At 42.6% G+C, this 17568-nt stretch overlaps 1 protein-coding gene across 10 annotated transcripts in view, besides 3 other annotated features; it reads left to right on the plus strand.

The window, feature by feature from the left end:
* The window catches only part of USP10 (ubiquitin specific peptidase 10), a 79923-nt gene that overhangs the window by 37461 nt on the left and 24894 nt on the right, over window positions 1-17568 (plus strand). For 8 of the 10 annotated variants that reach the window (NM_001272075.2, XM_047434877.1, XM_017023868.2 and 5 more), the window contains 2 exons: window positions 2849-2909; window positions 7173-8213. The exons of 1 other annotated variant lie outside the window; for it this stretch is intronic. In NM_001272075.2, coding sequence (NP_001259004.1) covers window positions 2849-2909; window positions 7173-8213 — 1102 coding nt within the window. The remainder of the gene's footprint in view (window positions 1-2848; window positions 2910-7172; window positions 8214-17568) is intronic. One more of the 10 variants, NR_073578.2, reaches the window with a different exon arrangement.
* Window positions 1232-1281: an enhancer, noted in NCBI's record as "active region_11254". NCBI's record gives its function as "activates an Ori minimal core promoter by ATAC-STARR-seq in GM12878 lymphoblastoid cells {active_cell/tissue: GM12878}" and the evidence as "EXISTENCE:reporter gene assay evidence [ECO:0000049][PMID:35858748]".
* Window positions 2243-2537: a silencer, noted in NCBI's record as "tiled region #6565; HepG2 Repressive non-DNase unmatched - State 25:Art, and K562 Repressive non-DNase unmatched - State 17:Gen3'". NCBI's record gives its function as "represses a minimal TATA promoter and a strong SV40 promoter by Sharpr-MPRA in HepG2 and K562 cells {active_cell/tissue: HepG2 | K562}" and the evidence as "EXISTENCE:reporter gene assay evidence [ECO:0000049][PMID:27701403]".
* Window positions 14752-14831: an enhancer, noted in NCBI's record as "active region_11255". NCBI's record gives its function as "activates an Ori minimal core promoter by ATAC-STARR-seq in GM12878 lymphoblastoid cells {active_cell/tissue: GM12878}" and the evidence as "EXISTENCE:reporter gene assay evidence [ECO:0000049][PMID:35858748]".

Genomic DNA, 17568 nt, shown 5'->3' on the forward strand with positions numbered 1-17568 from the left:
TCTGATGTGTGAGGGAGGTTTGCTGAATGAAAGGTGCTGTGTGCCTGTGGAATAAAACACACACATTTCCACAGTGCCACAACCCATCTGGCATTCCTGCAGGTGCGCTCTTTTATCAGCTTAGCAAATCAAAGTAAGTGTGTTGAGCATGCTTACTGAAGGTGGCAGTGTCATCTGGGAGTTTGCTGGTGGTCGTCTCACCAGATCCCTGCTGTGCCTCTTACTGGCAGTGTCACCTGCTGGCACTGTCACCTGGCTTCCTCATCTGAAGCTGGCAGTGTCGCCTGGCTTCCTCATCTGTCAGAGGGCCACAGTAACAGGACCTCCTCCCCAGAGTTGTTGAGGAGCAGGATGTGTGCCTGGCACACCCTGAGTGCCCAGTCAGTGCCACCTGGTGTCACTGGTCCAGCCTTTCCAGCCTCTCCACCCTCAGTCAGCGCCACCTGGCATTACCGGCCCCGCCTCTCCACTTGGCTTGTCCTCAGCGTCATCTGTGTATTTTTCCCGATTGCTGGGGTTTTCTTCTGCATGTTGTGGGAGTGGCTGGGAGTTGAGTGAGTGTTCACACCCCGTGGTTGAATGTTGAGGAAGGGGACAGCCGGAAGATGGTGAGCAGGGTTCTAACAGCTCTCTGCCTTGTGAAGTGGATGGGTGAAGAGGTCCCTTCTCTGAATTGTGCGTCTTCCCAGCCTGCTGCAGTCTCTCGGGTCTGGAGGTTTCCTTCAGCATTCTCTCTTCCCCGAGCAGAACAGAATACTGGGAAGTGTGAAGAGAACATTGATATAATAGTGATGAAACTGTTTTGACTCAGAAAAAGATGATTTCTTGATGTTACAATAAATTTTGTGTAAAAATAGAGTGATTCAAAACACTTTTCATGCCTCAAAATAACACAGCTTTCTGTCACCAGGGGGCATCCTAGTGTCATTAACAGAAAAAGAGGGCATTCTATGTATCAGTTTCTAAACTGTCTTCTTTGACCACAGAGGGTTTTGAACGAGATGGAGGCTTCCTGAGACACACATGGCCGCTGTGTCCACTGCCCTTATAGACCCACCTCTCTGCTCCAGGTGCCTGCCAGCATCAATGCTGGTGTGTGGAATGGTCTTTGCCTTGCGGGTGCCAAGGCTAGTGTAGCCCATCTCAGCATACAGAATGCTTTCTTCTGGGTGTCAACGTGATGCGTACTAGGTTGCCCCCTGGTGGTGGAGATAAGTGCAGCTGTCAACTCCTGAAGGTGTTGGCTTCTTTTGAATTGCCCTGTGTTTTCCTGTTTGTCATAATTCTCTGGGAAGAGAACTTACTGCGTTACTAGCAGAGAGAAGCTTTTATTGCTGTGATTATTGAATTGGTGTGCTGAGATCTCATTGGAGAACTCAGCTGAGGAAGCCAATCAAGCAGCAGCTCTCATACAGTATTGGGCATGAGACTTACCTAGGAGCCTCTGAACTTTGCGGCCCTAGGGCCGTTCCTGCACTGGCCTTTGTACTGCAGTGAACAGACTTTGGGAAGTGCTGCACCAGAATGTCTTTTTGTTCTTTTGTTCTGCCCTCAGGTAGCAGTTTATCTCTCTGCTTACCTTACCCCTTTTCTTCCTAAACCTTTTTTTTTTTTTTGAGACAGAGTCTTGTGCTGTTGCCCAGGCTGGAGTGCAGTGGCACTATCTCGGCTCACTGCAAGCTCCGCCTCCCGGGTTCACGCCATTCTCCTGCCTCAGCCTCCTGAGTAGCTGGGACTACAGGCACCCACCACCATGCCCGGCTAATTTTTTGTATTTTTTAGTAGAGACAGGGTTTGTTTTTTTTTTGTTTTGTTTTGTTTTGGTTTTTGAGACAAAGTCTTGCTCTATTGCCCAGGCTGGAGTGCAGTGGCGCGATCTCGGCTCACTGCAACCTCCATCCCCCAGGTTCAAACGATTCTCCTGCCTTAGCCTCCCAAGTAGCTGGGATTACAGGTGCCTGCCACCACGCCCAGCTGATTTTTTGTATTTTTAGTAGAGATGGGGTTTCACCATGTTGGCCAGACTGGTCTAGAACTCCTGACCTCAAGTGATTCACCCACCTCAGCCTCCCTCATTGCTGGGATTACAGGCATGAGCCACCATGCCCTGCCCCTTCCTAAACTTTCTTACACCCAATGTGTCCATTGGAAGCATTTCCAACTCTTAAATAAATGTTATGGAATAGCTAGGAAGAAGAAAAATTTAAGTTATTTTTGAGATAACCTTTCAGCTTTTTACAAAGAAGTCAGACAGTTCCCATTCTGCTTTCTGTCTGCCAAACAAGGAATGTGACTTCTAGCTGTTAATGTAGTTAATTAAGGCACTGTGTTAAAAAGGGAGCTGCAGTCACCAGGCTTTTTGTTTATAGTGCGCTTTCCTCTGCTCTCCGACCATGGACCTGGTCCCAGCCTCTACTGGCTGTGTTGCAATGTAGTGATCGTGAATAAGAGGTGCAGTCAGGAAGAGTCATCTTCGCTAGTGCACAAACAAAAGTGTCTGTGGTCTGGATGGTCAGTCACTGACATCCTGTGGAAAGAAGGATGTATCATAAGCATTTCATTGTAGCTGATTTACATGTCCATTGGAGTTCATTTTTATTCCTTTTGGCTTCATTTTCGGATCTGTTTAATAGTGATAAATATTTGAAAGCATTTCTATTGTGTTTTTTTCGTTAAATGAAGATGATTTAGATTGCACTGACTCTTCATGTATGTTATTCTGCTAGAAGTAACGGCATGCAAAGTTGTATGGATTAAGAGTTTTAATGAATTGTTGCCTTAATTAAATGGTAAGCGTTGGTTTTAACATTTTGTTGAATTAAAATTTGTTTTCTGATTCCTTGTGCAGCTTCCTCCATACAGTGGAACAGTTCTGTGTGGCACACAGGCTGTGGATAAACTACCTGATGGTAAGCTAGTTCTCTCCTTATTTCCCTGAAGGGAATTTGGCCATACGTGCTGGGTGGGCAGGCTACCTGTAAACATTGTTTCCCATTTGAATAAACATTTCTTTGTAGCTTGAAGTTTTTGCTGTAAACTGTAATGTATTTAATTGCTGAATCACTTTGACTAGTGAATTGGTTTTAAAGCGTATCCTGTGCTTCGGAGTGCCAGCCATGTAAGATTTAGTTTAGGAAATGGTTGTTGAGTTCTTTTTTTCCTAACAGTTCTGAGTGCAACAGGTATGTTACTCTTCATCAGCACATGCTGGAGTTGAAGCGAACTTTGGGTCTTGTTGCTAAGCAGCCTGCTGGCTCCAGCGCCAGCTAGCTTCTGAGCCTGTGTTCTTTGTAAACTAAGGGGCAGCTGGCATCTGTTGTTCTTGCAGTTCACATTCATGTCCTGGTCTGTCGCTGACTCTTGGGAACTCAGGTCAACTCTTCACCTCCTGGTCTGTTACTTTTTTGGGTCTCCATCACAGGCACTAAGCTGATTGCCAGAGATGGTGCTTATGGAGATGCAATGATTTTGTATTGCTTAAGTACCCAGCGTTGGAATACCAACAAGGTTGTTTAATTATTGATTGCAGGCTGCCCTTGCACAATTCAAACTTGTCGAGATCATTTTTCAATCTGAATCACTTTAAAGGCCCTTACTGGCCTCCAGGAAACTGATGCCAAACTTTTTCTTTGAGAGTTAGAGGTTTGGATTCCCTGTTCAGTTAGCATGGTCAGACTTATGAAAGGGGTTTTAATTACAATTTAGGCTTCAATAGAAGCCTTGAAAAGACTAACCAAACGTTTTATCTCCAGTAACATCAGGGAGTGATTATATCTAAAATTTTAGATTTATAAGAAATGTGGGAGACCATAAGGGAAAGAGCAGATCTAACAATAGCTTAGGACAAGTAATAAAATGAATGAAGCTTGAGGGACCGGGAAGCCGGGCTGCTCAGCCTCCTGAGCCACCTTTTAATTGGCTGATGTCAACCTCTCAGACATCTGAGTCAGTGGGACTTCCTCTGTCACTGTGTGCTTTGCACGTGGTGAGCATGCTGCTCATGTTGAACCAGTGCTTACAAATGCCCCATGATGTTCCCATGCACATCACTTCTTTGAGTTCACCCTCCTCCCTGTGCAGTGGGCACCACCAGCTCCCCCAGCCTCTGGAGTTCTGCTTCCCCCTCCCTCCTTCCAGCCTGCCTGCCCTTTTCAGTGACTGCTTCTTGGCCCTTTTTCTCCATTCTTTACTCTGTTCCCTCTAAGTCCTGCCTTTTTTCTGCCAAAAACACGACTGGAATCTTGCCACCAGTTTGCACAGTTAGTGACAGGCCTGCTTTTCTCTGCAGCCTTTCTGGGTATCTTGTGTTTCCATGACATTAGTTTCTCTTCCAGTGCCTGTTCGACTGTACAGAGCCTGTGGGCACTGTCATGGACCTGCCTCTCTTTCCAGCCTGCTCAGCTGCTGATGGCAGGATCCATTTCTCTGTGTCTGTCACTGCGCCTGTAGTATCTGGAATGTTGTAAGCCCTCAGTACATTTGTTGGATGAATGGTTTAGGATGCTTTATTCTGCTCCCTCCCACTACCTCCAGCTGCAGCAAGCCCTTTGCAGAGGCACCTCATCGTGGCTTCCCTTTTAGATCTCGGCCTTTTCTATTTTTGTGTTTTTTAATTTTTTTATATTTTAATTTTTGTAGGTACATAATAGGTGTATATATGTATGGGGTACATGAGATATTTTCATACAGGCATACAACAAGTAATAATCACATCAAGGTGAATGGTTGTCCTTCACCTCAAGCACTGCCTGTTTTAGATGTTCCTAAAGCTTGAGATACCACTCCTTCACCCTGCCCTTAGCAATTCAGTGATCCATCAAGTTCCACTGACCTCTCTAGTTTCTGATAGAAGTTGATCACTGTTTCCTGCATCCAGAAGAATCCTTTTTCTAAAGCTATTCACAGCTTTCTCTCCCCTCCCTCCATGTTTTCATTCTCAGTTGTTTGTATTTGTCTCCCTAATAAATGTGAACTCTCTGAGCAGGGCCCTTGTGTCACTAATCTCTGTATATTTCCCTCCCTCGCCCCCTGCCTTGTAGTCCAGTCCTCTCTACTGCATGTACTGCAGTGAGCAGCCTTGGAGAAATGCTGTGTTAGGATTCGTGGTTTTAAGAGCCTCTGCCTGCATTACCTGAGTATTGAGTTTCCATCTTCCTAATGTATTGATTGGGTTGTTGAAGCCAAGCGTGCAGGCCGTCCTGCACTTCGTCTGCCTGGCACATTGGGCTCTGAGCTCTCTGCCATGCGGTGCAAGGCACATGGCGTCCATTGTGAGTGTTCCTCCATAAGAAGAGGAACTGTGCTGGCTAGGAATCTGCCTTCTAGTGAGATGATCAAACATGGTATTGAGTAAATGTTTGATACTAATTATAACATACTGAAATGGTTCTGTTCACGTTACATCACATTCTAGAATGTTTTATGTTCTGATAAGATTGAGAATTGAGATGTGTACAGCACATCTGTGTCTTAGAAATAATCAGTCTTGCATAAGCTGAATGACACAACACGTTCTAGTTTCTAATGTGATTTCACAGCCTTCAAAGGGCAGGCTCCACATGGAGCCTTCCGCCCCAGGCACACCCGTTTCAATCTGGGGAGCCTTGACGGCCCCAGAACATCAGGGAATAGGGGATGTATGGAACCAAAATGAACAGCCAGCCCCTACATATGATAATAAATTCATTTCCCCTTGATATTCTTTTCAAAGTAAGGAAACAAAAAATAAATAGTAGCCAAAGGAATTAGATGGTCGTGACTTCATGCATAAACTTGCTGTTAGGTGTAATCGTCATCAGTGTTCTTTTCCAGGAACTTTCTCTTGTTGGGGCAGGATTGTGCTGCCACCACCCTTCACCCCCCACAGTCGGGGGCTGTGATTCTAAAGCATACGAAGATTCAGGAGGCCTCGGGAGGCTGTGTAGCTCCAGCCTCCTGCACACTCACTTGCACGTAACTGGCCCCTCTCAGCGTCTGTATTTTTTCTTCTACAAAAAGATTTCTAGGGGTCCTTTCAAGGTAAAATATATTCAGTTCTCCGCAGTAGAACACCGTTCTTTGGGTATTAGTTTCTTTTCTTAAGATAGATGCCTTGAAAAAAAAATTGGCCCCTTAATGCTAGCCTGGAAGAAATCTTCATGCATTAAAGATGAAATATAAGGCATGTGTCCTTCCCTTAACTTCAAAATGTGTAACTTTTTATCAAATATAAGGTGACATTGATGCTTGATTTCTGTTGAAAGACACAATTGATTCTAAAACTTAACCTGATTTCAGAGGTGTAAACTATAAAAATACGTCTGTCTTAGCAGGAATGAATTATGTGGATTGTGGTTAACTGGGAAGGAAGTATTGAAGGCTTCCCAAGAGATATTTAAAAGTTCACAATTCTAACTTTTTCTTTTGGTATTTTTGGAAGGCTTTACCACCCATGGGGTTAATCCAGTGTGAATTTATTTAGAGGACGTTTGCATGTGTTCATGTCAGGGCCATTTTTCAGACTTAATTGAAGGTTACCAGCGGAGGAGACCAAGAGATAGAGAATTCAGAAGAGTGCTCTGAAGTGCGCTTTTATATATAGGATTCTTTGTTGTTGTTGTTGTTGTTGTTGAATCTTTTTTTGACATCTTTTTTTTTTGTTTTTAAATTTATACTTTCTAATTTCTCCTATCCAGTATGTATAGGATTCTTTGCGTAGTTCATGTTTTTGGAATTAATCAAATCACGTTAACTACAGAAGCTGATTTAACCATGTTTTAAGTCCCTAAGTTAGTTGTCATGATCTTTTAAAATTTAAGTTGTCCAAAATACATATTCCTTTATCTCAGGCATAAGGCAGCTATAAGAAAGTCAGATTCCACTGGGGGGTATTTTTAAAATTGGCAAAATATTACTTGCTTTTTATTACAAATTTATTTTAATTTCTACCTTCTGAAAGCCTTCCTTAGCTAGAAAGATAAGTACAGGCTTCTGCTTTTCATATCCCCAAATTAAATAATAATTTTATAGTTGTTTCATTTTCCGCAAATTGTTCAGCGTAAGTAAAGGACGTAATAGATTTGTTGATTAGGAAGAGAACTTAAGGTTTTTATTTTCAAAGAGAAAGTGAGTAATTACTGGTACTTAGAGTTTGTAGAACTGGGTTCTTAACTAATAGTTTTCTTTCTAAACAGGACAAGAATATCAGAGAATTGAGTTTGGTGTCGATGAAGTCATTGAACCCAGTGACACTTTGCCGAGAACCCCCAGCTACAGTATTTCAAGCACACTGAACCCTCAGGCCCCTGAATTTATTCTCGGTTGTACAGCTTCCAAAATAACCCCTGATGGTATCACTAAAGAAGCAAGCTATGGCTCCATCGACTGCCAGTACCCAGGCTCTGCCCTCGCTTTGGATGGAAGTTCTAATGTGGAGGCGGAAGTTTTGGAAAATGATGGTGTCTCAGGTGGTCTTGGACAAAGGGAGCGTAAAAAGAAGAAAAAGCGGCCACCTGGATATTACAGCTATTTGAAAGATGGTGGCGATGATAGTATCTCCACAGAAGCCCTGGTCAATGGCCATGCCAATTCAGCAGTCCCGAACAGTGTCAGTGCAGAGGATGCAGAATTTATGGGTGACATGCCCCCGTCAGTTACGCCCAGGACTTGTAACAGCCCCCAGAACTCCACAGACTCTGTCAGTGACATTGTGCCTGACAGTCCTTTCCCCGGAGCACTCGGCAGTGACACCAGGACTGCAGGGCAGCCAGAGGGGGGCCCCGGGGCTGATTTTGGTCAGTCCTGCTTCCCTGCAGAGGCTGGCAGAGACACCCTGTCAAGGACAGCTGGGGCTCAGCCCTGCGTTGGTACCGATACTACTGAAAACCTTGGAGTTGCTAATGGACAAATACTTGAATCCTCGGGTGAGGGCACAGCTACCAACGGGGTGGAGTTGCACACCACGGAAAGCATAGACTTGGACCCAACCAAACCCGAGAGTGCATCACCTCCTGCTGACGGCACGGGCTCTGCATCAGGCACCCTTCCTGTCAGCCAGCCCAAGTCCTGGGCCAGCCTCTTTCATGATTCTAAGCCCTCTTCCTCCTCGCCGGTGGCCTATGTGGAAACTAAGTATTCCCCTCCCGCCATATCTCCCCTGGTTTCTGAAAAGCAGGTTGAAGTCAAAGAAGGGCTTGTTCCGGTTTCAGAGGATCCTGTAGCCATAAAGATTGCAGGTATAGTTGAAAAGATACAAATCTAGAGTGAAGATGGGAGCAGACCTCATCAACTGGGCTTATAGACTGTGGTGTTACCCATAACAATGGCAGATTACCTGTGTGTTAATAGCAACGTCTGAAGGATGCCTATGTCTTAAATGTTCTCTAAAAGTAAGATAATATAGAAACAAATGGGAGGAGAGGGTTGTCGTAACTTTATGTTAAGTGAAAGATCCATGTCTGTTAGCAGTTCTTTTCTGTTGACAAGTTACATTTCCATTTCTTGCCTTTTGTTCAAGTAATTCTGCTCCACGGTATGAATGTATAATGGACTTTTTCTGTGATATACCTTTGGTATGATAATCCTGATTTGTACTCACTGTGTGCTCCTTTTTTATATTTCTTAAGATACAAGAAATCATTTTGTGAAATAACATGGTTTTTTTTTTTTGGATTGAGTAAATGGATTTTATTCAGAATTTTGATACACCAAGGTCAGCTCTTGAAGAGAAAAAAAATGTTAAGGGTTCAGCCCAAAGTTAATGTTTTATTTTAGAGTGCTAAGGCTCCAAAGTAGAAACAATTCACAATAAAAATAGAAAGCTGCATAATTCACAGATTGTTTTTAAAAAGTTACAGTAGGAAGTCAGAAATGCAGCAGGGTATGAAAGAGGTATGTGTCCTCACATAGCCACGTGTTGCTTAACTAAGATGGATATGTGTTCCGAGATGTGCGTGTTAACATCAGAGAGTACTACACAAATACAGGTGGTAGAGCCTTAGGCTGGTGGTGCAGCCTATTACTCCCGGGCTGCAAACCTGTCCAGCGTGTTACTACTGAATACTGTAGGCAGTTGTAACACAGTGCTAAGTATTTGTGTGCCTGAACACATTTAGACATAGAAAAAATATAGTACAGATATGGTATAAAGGATGAAAAGTGCTTCACCTGTATAGAGCACTCACCGTGAATGGAGCTTGCAAGACTGGAGTGGCTCTGGATGGGTCAGTGATGAGTGCTGAGTGAATGTGAAGGCCCAGGACAGTACTGAGCAAAGCCGAGTTTTATAAACAGTCAACACTTAGGCTGTACTACGTTGATTTACAAATTTTTCCTCAATAAGAAATTAACCTTAACCTACTGTAACTTTTTTACGTTTTATTTTACTTTTAAATTAAAAATTCTAAACTTTTTGACTCTTTCATGAGAACATTTAGCTTAAAACACACACTACAGCTATACAAAAATATTTTCTTCCTTTTTATTCTTACTTTCCTATAAGCTTTTTCATATTAAAAATTGTTTTTAACTTTTTAAACTTAAAAAGTAAGACACAAACATTAGCCTGGGCCTGCACAGGGTCAGGAGCATCAAGACGCCACTAGGCGGCAGGACGTTTCAGTTCCACTAGAATCTTGTGGGACCATCATACGTGCGGCTCATTGTTGACCGAAATGTTACGCCGCGCGTGACTGTACGTACCTAAGAAGCAGAAGCTGTGTCATCAGGTTGGATTCCACCAAGCCTGGTGACCAGATCTTCAGATTGTCACCCTAGTAGCCAAGTTAAAATAAGCTGTTTGGTTTAGGCTTTCTGTAATACTTTCTGATGTGACCTTTTGGAACACCTGACACCCTTCATTACCAGGATGTAGCAGCAAGCTGCCAAATGCACACCCTTCGATGGATGGTCAGAATTGTGTAAAAAATAAAACACATTCTTTGGGTGGCAATAGGGTGATAGCAAGCAATGTATATATATTTTTAAGAGTATTTTATTCCTTATACAAAATACATTATCTCAGGTACTCTTGTTGTTCTGAAGTTCTCTTAAATGAGCAAATGATAGGCCAGACGTCGTTATTTTGGGCTTCATATATATTTTTTAAAGCCAGGTGATTTTTTTTTTTTTTTTTTTTTTTTTTGAGATGCAGTCTCACTCTGTTGCTCAGGCTGTAGTGCAGGAGGCACGATCTTGGCTCACTACAACCTCCGCCTCCTGGGTTCAAGTGATTCTCCTGCCTCGGCCTCCCAAGTAGCTGGGATTACAGGCACATGCCACAATGTCTGGCTATCTTTTTTTGTATTTTTAGTAGAAATGGGGTTTCACCATGCTGCCCAGGCTGGCCTCAAACTCCTGACCTCAAGTGATCTGCTCGCTTCAGCCTCCCAAAGTGTTGGGATTCCAGGTGTGGGCCACCGCACTCAGGCCAGGCGATTTCTTGAATACAGCTTTCAGAATGTATTTATTGCAAGGACTGATACTGTAGGTGGATGACAAGGTCAGGAGATCGAGACCATCCTGGCTAACACGGTGAAACCCCGTCTCTACTAAAAAAAACCTAAAAATCAGCCAGGCGTGGTGGCGGGCGCCTGTAGTCCCAGCTACTCAGGAGGCTGAGACAGGAGAATGGCGTGAACCTGGGAGGCGGAGCTTGCAGTGAGCCGAGATGGCGCCAGTGCACTCCAGCCTGGGCGACAGAGCCAGACTCCATCTCAAAAAAAAAAAAAAAAAAAAAAAAGATAGATTGTGTAAGCCTTTATATAGATTACTAAGTTAAAAGTTTATTTTTAACCTATAATGAGAAATGCATGGTGGGGTCCTGTTAAAAATGTGCATTCTAAGTTCGAAGTCATGAGAATTTTATTTTCTTTTCTTTATTTTTGAGAGGGGGTCTCACTCTGTCGCCCAGGCCGGAATGCAGTGGCGCAATCTCGGCTCACTGCAACCTTCTCCTCCTGGGTTCAGGCAATTCTCCTGCCTCAGCCTCCCTAGTAGCTGGGACTACAGGTGCCTGGCACCACGCCAGGCTAATTTTTGTATTTTTAGTAGAGACCGAGTTTCACCATGTTGGCCAGGCTGGTCTTGAGCTCCTGACCTCAAGTGATCCTCCTGCCTCAGCCTCTCAAAGTGCTGAGATTACAGGCGTGAGCCACCGCGCCCAGCTGAGAATATTATAGTTTCGTTTCTAAAATTGCTCCACAAAGGAAAACCTCCCATCTTAGGGAGATTTTCTCTATCTTTATTTAAAATAACCAAGAAAAGCTTCATTTAAAATGTTTTAGAACATTCTACTTAGTCATATGACTTTAAATATAGTTTGATAAATAGTTTGTTATGTTCTGTATATGTTAAAGTCTAATTGAAGTAGCTTTGTCAAACACTGAAAGTAAGGGCCTCTTAATGACTGGTAGTAGAGGAAAGCCTTGCCACACACAGTCCACGTAATTATTTTTGTGTGGACATATTGTAAACCCCTACCAAACAGATTATTTTTTTAATCCTATTTGGTTAGGTCAGTTATGAAGATGTTTTAATTTTCTGAGCAAAAGTGTAGTTTCTTTAAAAATATATAATTCTTTTCAGCCTGTTTGTTGAGGCTTCGATAGACAGAACGTAGTTGTTGACAGTTTCAGGAGTCTCGTGAGATAGTAGAGCAATAGAGTCACATTGAATAACCCTTGGGATCATATAGGGCTTAGGGAGAATGGCATTGTTTGAAATTTTTTTTGTTGTTTTATTCTCCTACTTAGGGATTTACTTTATAAAAGTGGTAAAACATACTCAGTTTGTTACAAGTCAGATCCACTACCACAAATTCCCTTTAGTGGGCACACTTTTAAGTGTAGGCCCACTTATTTTAAGCAGCGTTTAACTGAGTGAAAGTCTAGTTTCATTAAAAGATCTGTTGATGTGGGTTATAATAGAGTTTGACTTGCATTAGTATCTAACTGTTTCTACTGAGACAGTGGTATTTGTGTTATTAACTTTTGGGAAAGAGGGAGTAGGGAATGATTTAGACATTAAATGTATTCCTTTCTGCCAGGCATGATAGTGTGGAGATTGAGGCTTGAGGCTCGATAACTTGAGCCCGGGAGTTCGAGGCCAGCCTGGGCAACATACTGAGACCCCATCTTTAAAAAAAAAAAAAATTATACACACACAAAATGCTTGGAATAATTTGTGTATTTTTTATCTCAAGTTTGTTTCAAATACTCACATTTCTGGACTATTTCCCCTATTGTTAAGTCTGCTTAATAAATGCCAGCTAGTTTTTATGCCATCAGAAGTGAAATTAAGAAGGCAGATGGACTAAAAGAATCACGTATAAGGGATTTTGAAGTGAAATACATTAAACTCTTGATTACTCTTAAACTATCCACTTTAACGGGTTCTACTTGGACCTTCTTGGTGGCAAGGCCATCTCCTCGGTGTAGGTTATGTGTCAACATTTTGTTCCATTGGCTGTTTTTCAAGTGTGAACTGTTATTTGAAAGGAGAAGGACACGCCAGGGGAGAGCGTGTGAACTGAATACTCAGTGATTTCCTTTAGCCCCAAGGGAAGGATGTATCTAAACACAAAAGCCCTGTCTTGCCGAGGGTTGGAGAGGGATCTGTGTTTCAGTGACTGGTCTGAGAGGAGATGGTTGCCATTTATCAGTAGGAGTCAACAAAAGGAAACTTAATACAGCCCGGCACAGTGGCTCACGCCTGTAATCCCAGCACTTTCGGAGGTTGAGGTGGGTGGATCCCTTGAGGCCAGGAGTTCAAGACCAGCCTGGCCAACATAGGGAAATCCCATCTTTACTAAAAATAAAAAAATTAGATGGACGTGGTGGCTCATGGCTGTAATCCTAGCTACTGAGGAGGCTGTGTCAGGAGAATAGCTTGAACCGGGGAGGTGGAGGTTCAGTGAGCCCAGATCGTGCCACTGCACTCCAGCCTGGGCCACAGAGTGAGACTGTCTCAAAAAAAAAAAAAAAAACCCAAAACTTAATAGCTTGTGTTTGAAAGTAGTTGCAAAACGCGACACCCTTGTTAAGAGTGAGTATGGCAGACACGTGGGGAGTGCCTTTGCTGCTGCTTCCCTCATTAGCACAGATACTTTGGAGTTGACGAACATGTGACGTTTGAAATTGAACGTATGCTTTCATTGAACATTGTACTTTTCCTGGGTCTTTACTAAGGAACATTCCTCATATACTAGACGAAATTGTATCAGATGCTTTCACATCACAAATAGAGCCATTTTGTATTTGATGTTTTGCTTTCAAAATTATGCAACAGTATATTTTGTTTTAACAGAATATAAATAATGCTGGGTAAGAAGAGTGGCCAACTGCCCGATAAGTTAAAATTCCAGTGAGAGAGAACTAGGAAAACTGAGCTCTTGAACAGCTCTGAAAACATTGCGTTGAGGTATCTAGCAATGTCATTTATTATGAATTGTTAGTCAAAACCTGTTTATATGATTTTTCACAGTGGTTTTATACCTAAAAGGCATTGGATCAAGAAACAAAGTTATTACAATTTGGGTCTTCTCTAATGAATTACCCTGTCCGTGTTTATTTAAGTGTAAATGAACATACAGTTATGTGCTGCTTTAATGATGTTTCAGTCAACAACAGACCGCATGTACGACAGTGGTCCCATAAGATTATAATGGAGCTAAACAATTTCTAGTGACCAGTGAGTTGTGTTACAGTTGCCTACGGTATTCAGTACACAACATGCTGTACGGGTTTGTAGCTTAGGAGCAATAGGCTCTAGCATATGGCCCAGGTGTGTAGTTGGCTATACCATCTAGGCATGTGATCCCACAATGACAAAATTGCCTAATGCCACATTTCTCAGAACATATCCCCATCATTAAGCATGGCTGTGTATCCTAAAACTGATCTTTATTTTGGCAGTTTATAAATCATGCATATATTTCCCCCCGCTCCTTGGGGGAAATGGTTTCTCAGATATTTTGCACTTCCTCTTCAAACTCTGAAGTACACAGGCAGTGGTCATGCGGCGTGATCTAAGTTAAAAAGGCGTGGCACCTGTTTACCGGGATCCACCCTTGTGGACTGAGAGTTTAGTCCACATCTGATTCGATGTTTGTAGCCTCACATTTATTATACATCTTTCCACTTCAGAAACATAAGTTGATCTGTAGTCAATGGGTAGTGGTACATTTTGGTCACTTTGCTGTCCTCCACCTGGTTAGATAACCAAGATAGTGTGTGTTCTTCCAAATTGATGGTAATGAGGAAAAGAAAAGCACTTGGAGAATGTTCTGGACAGTTAGAATGATGACAGAAAAGCAGGTCAACAACACCAGAATGTCGATTACGGGCCAGTTATTGAGCCCTAAGAATCAGAGTTCTGTACCTTGCATTTTCAGGGATTTTCAATGTTAATATGACCCCTAAGTCCTAATTTTAGGAAAACAGAATTTGATGTGTAAAATATGTGTAAGAATAATCATAGCTTATGATGACATAAAAGTTTACGATGCTGGTATTGCCTTTGAGTTGATAAACAATTTCAGTGGGCTGATTTGTGGCAGCCCTTGTGAGCTACCATCTAGCATGTATGTCTTAAAATTTGAAAAAAGGCTATTAAGCAACTCCATTTTTCTGTATGTCAGCAGATTTCATAAGAGTGAAATTTCAGTTCAGCCTTTTCATGTGAGTTATTACAAAAGTGAACTACAGGTTTCAATTTTGTGTCTTTTATGAGTCATTCTGGCATTTTGTGCCTTTTCTCACACATTGTTCTAGGCAGCCCCACCAACTCCTGTGACAAAGATGGACTGGGGGAGGCCATCTTCCTAAAGTTGCTGTCTGAACAGTTAAGTAGTAAATTATACCAACCATGATGAATTGAAAAGAAGGCTTCTGGGGAAAGTTTGTTATTAGAGCCAACTTCTATTATATGCCCTTAAAGAAGGTAAAATAGATACACCAATGGCAATGACTTTGGAATGCAGGTCAAGTTTCAACCTAGAAGTTGCCTGCCCTCTATCCTTGGTGGCCCGCCTTCCTCATTTTTATTCTTTTAGCCTCCATAATTGGAATGCGTATTGGACTTTAGGCTAGGAATAACATTGTAAATGAAAATGTTGATGTTGAAAGAGGAATTTAAATAGAGCGAAGAGTGATATTAGAAATTTGGAAGTGGTATTAGTTCTGGCTTGTCCGTAAGACCTGACTTTTGCATGATAACAATAGGATTCATTCACTTGAACATAATTCGGTCTGGTCTTAGGAGGAATTAGAACTGCTTTTGCACCCCTGTTTTTTTCACTGCGAGGAAGAAGAGGAGCTCACGAACTTCATAAAGCGTTAGTGTCTCCTCCAGTTGATGGTTATCGAAATGAGTCAGGATGGAAGGCTTAGTGTACGTGTGAGATGTTACAAAAGTGGACCTTAAATGTTTCTTGAGTGTTTGGATCTTAAGAGAAAATCTTTGACAATAAGTATTTAATCTTCATTTCTTACAATCATTCCTCTTAAAATGGAGCTTTATTTTTTAAAAACGTATTTTTTTTTTCTTAAGAAACAGGGTCTTGCTCATTCATTCAGGCTGGAGTGCTGTGGCATGATCATAGCTCACTGCAGCCTTGATCTCTCAGGCGCAGGTGGTCTTCCTGCCCCAGCTTCCTGAGTAGTTGGGACTATAGGCAGGCACCACCATGTACAGCTAATTTTTTTATTTTTTATTTTTTATTTTTCATAGCAACAGAGTCTCACTGTGTGGCCCAGGCTGATCTTGGAACTCCTGGACTCAAGTGATCTTCCTGCCATAGCCTCCCAAAGTGTTGCCTGAAATAGAACTTTATTAATATATCTTTAATATGTCAAGATGTTTAAAACTTGTCAAGATTTTAAGGAAGTTGGGCTAACATTTCCTCTTGGGATGCTGAAAGTTGTTGGTTTTCTCAGACTCTCACATAAATTCATTTGCTTTTCCCTTCTCCTTCCACCTCTATTAGCTCTTTATTTTCTAGGGGGGATTCTGATGTCTGTATTGAGCTGGCCGTCATGCCGGGAGTGGTCTGCTTATGTATTTACATGCGTGCTCATCTTTGCTATAGCTGAGCGTGGTGCAGCTCCTTACCTGTTCCAGGTGCGGAGTGATCTGCCGCACAATGAATGAAGTGGCAGAGCCAGGGCGCGAACCCCCGTCTTCCTGGTTTGTGTGCCTGGGCCCTTGCCCTTTACTGTGCGTCTTCTCAGGAGCTGTCATTTAGACTTTCTGGACCAGGAGCTAAATGACCTTTAAAGTCTGTTGAGTCATTTCTAACAAATATGAGTGGAGTCATTTGCCGTAACCAACAACTTTAATCTCCAGATGTTTAATTGATCCTGTATTACTGTCTAATGAGAACTTACTGTATGCCATGCACTGTCTAGTTGGAGTAATGATTGGCCTTGCCTTCAGGGTAGTCTAAGGCATAAGATCAGAAAGGAACAGATGGCAGCTGTTTGTAGGGAGAAGTGATCATTGGCAGAGGGGTGTTGAGGGGAGAAAGCAAGGAGGGGAGGCCTCATGCAGCTAGTAGGGATGGCAGTAACAGGCTGAGGACACAAAAGGCCACCAAGTCCTGTTACCTTAGATGGTGCGGACTTTGTTGAGCAGTTGAAGTGTGAGAGTCTTGTCTTTAAGGAGCCTCCTGTCCAGAGAAGGAGGCACACAGCACTAATATCAGGTAGGCAGTGATGAGGTCAGCTACTGTGGAGACAGTGTGGAGAATCTTGAGTGCCTTCTGTCGGTCTTACTCTGAGATTAGGATTTAGGATCATTATAAGAGATTAATAACAGAATGATACGGTATTTTAGTTTATGAAAGACTTGCCACTAGATAAAATTTTTCTACAGTAACAGAATAATCATTAAGAAAAATCTAGGTTGTTCGTGTCTCTTCTGTATTTTCCAAGTCTGAAAAGGTTTATTCTGCGTTTAACGACGTCGTACCAGAATGGCCTTTCAAAGACTGTCAAAGGCTTGAAGGAAAGCTTGGTGGAGTACATTTCCTAGTACACGTCCCAAGGGCCCGTACGTATGTTCTGCTGTTGCAGAGGTTGTGCTCGTTCGCTTTTGTAGGTTCCTTGCAGTTATTGAACAAACCACTGGGTGGTGCTAGAAGACTTGATTTTAATACTGTGCAAGAAAAACTGAAACTGCTTTTTAACCTGCCTGCGCCTCAAAATAAGCAAACTGGAAGCTGGTATCGATTTAAGGGAATGGCTGATGTAGAAACTAAAGGTTTCTGTCTGACTAGTTCATGCTGTCTCACAAATAAATGCTGGGAAAAAAGTCGGTTTATAGTTGATTTATGTATCCTTTGATTGCATAGAGATTGAATGGTCAAGCCTCCAGGCCATGCAGATTATTCTGGGCCCCTAACTCAGTTAAGAACATGAAAGGAGGCCAGGCACAGTGGCTCACACCTGTAATCCCAGCACTTTGGGAATCCAAGGCAGGCGGATTGCTTGAGGCCAGGAGTTCGAGACCAGCCTGGCCAATGTGGCAAAACCCTGTCTCTAGACTTTGTCCCAGAAAAAAAAAAAAAGGAGCTGTGTTTTCAGACAGAGCTTA

The sequence above is a fragment of the Homo sapiens genome, chromosome 16 (assembly GCF_000001405.40).
Source record: "Homo sapiens chromosome 16, GRCh38.p14 Primary Assembly".
In the NCBI taxonomy this organism is placed as follows: domain Eukaryota; kingdom Metazoa; phylum Chordata; class Mammalia; order Primates; family Hominidae; genus Homo; species Homo sapiens.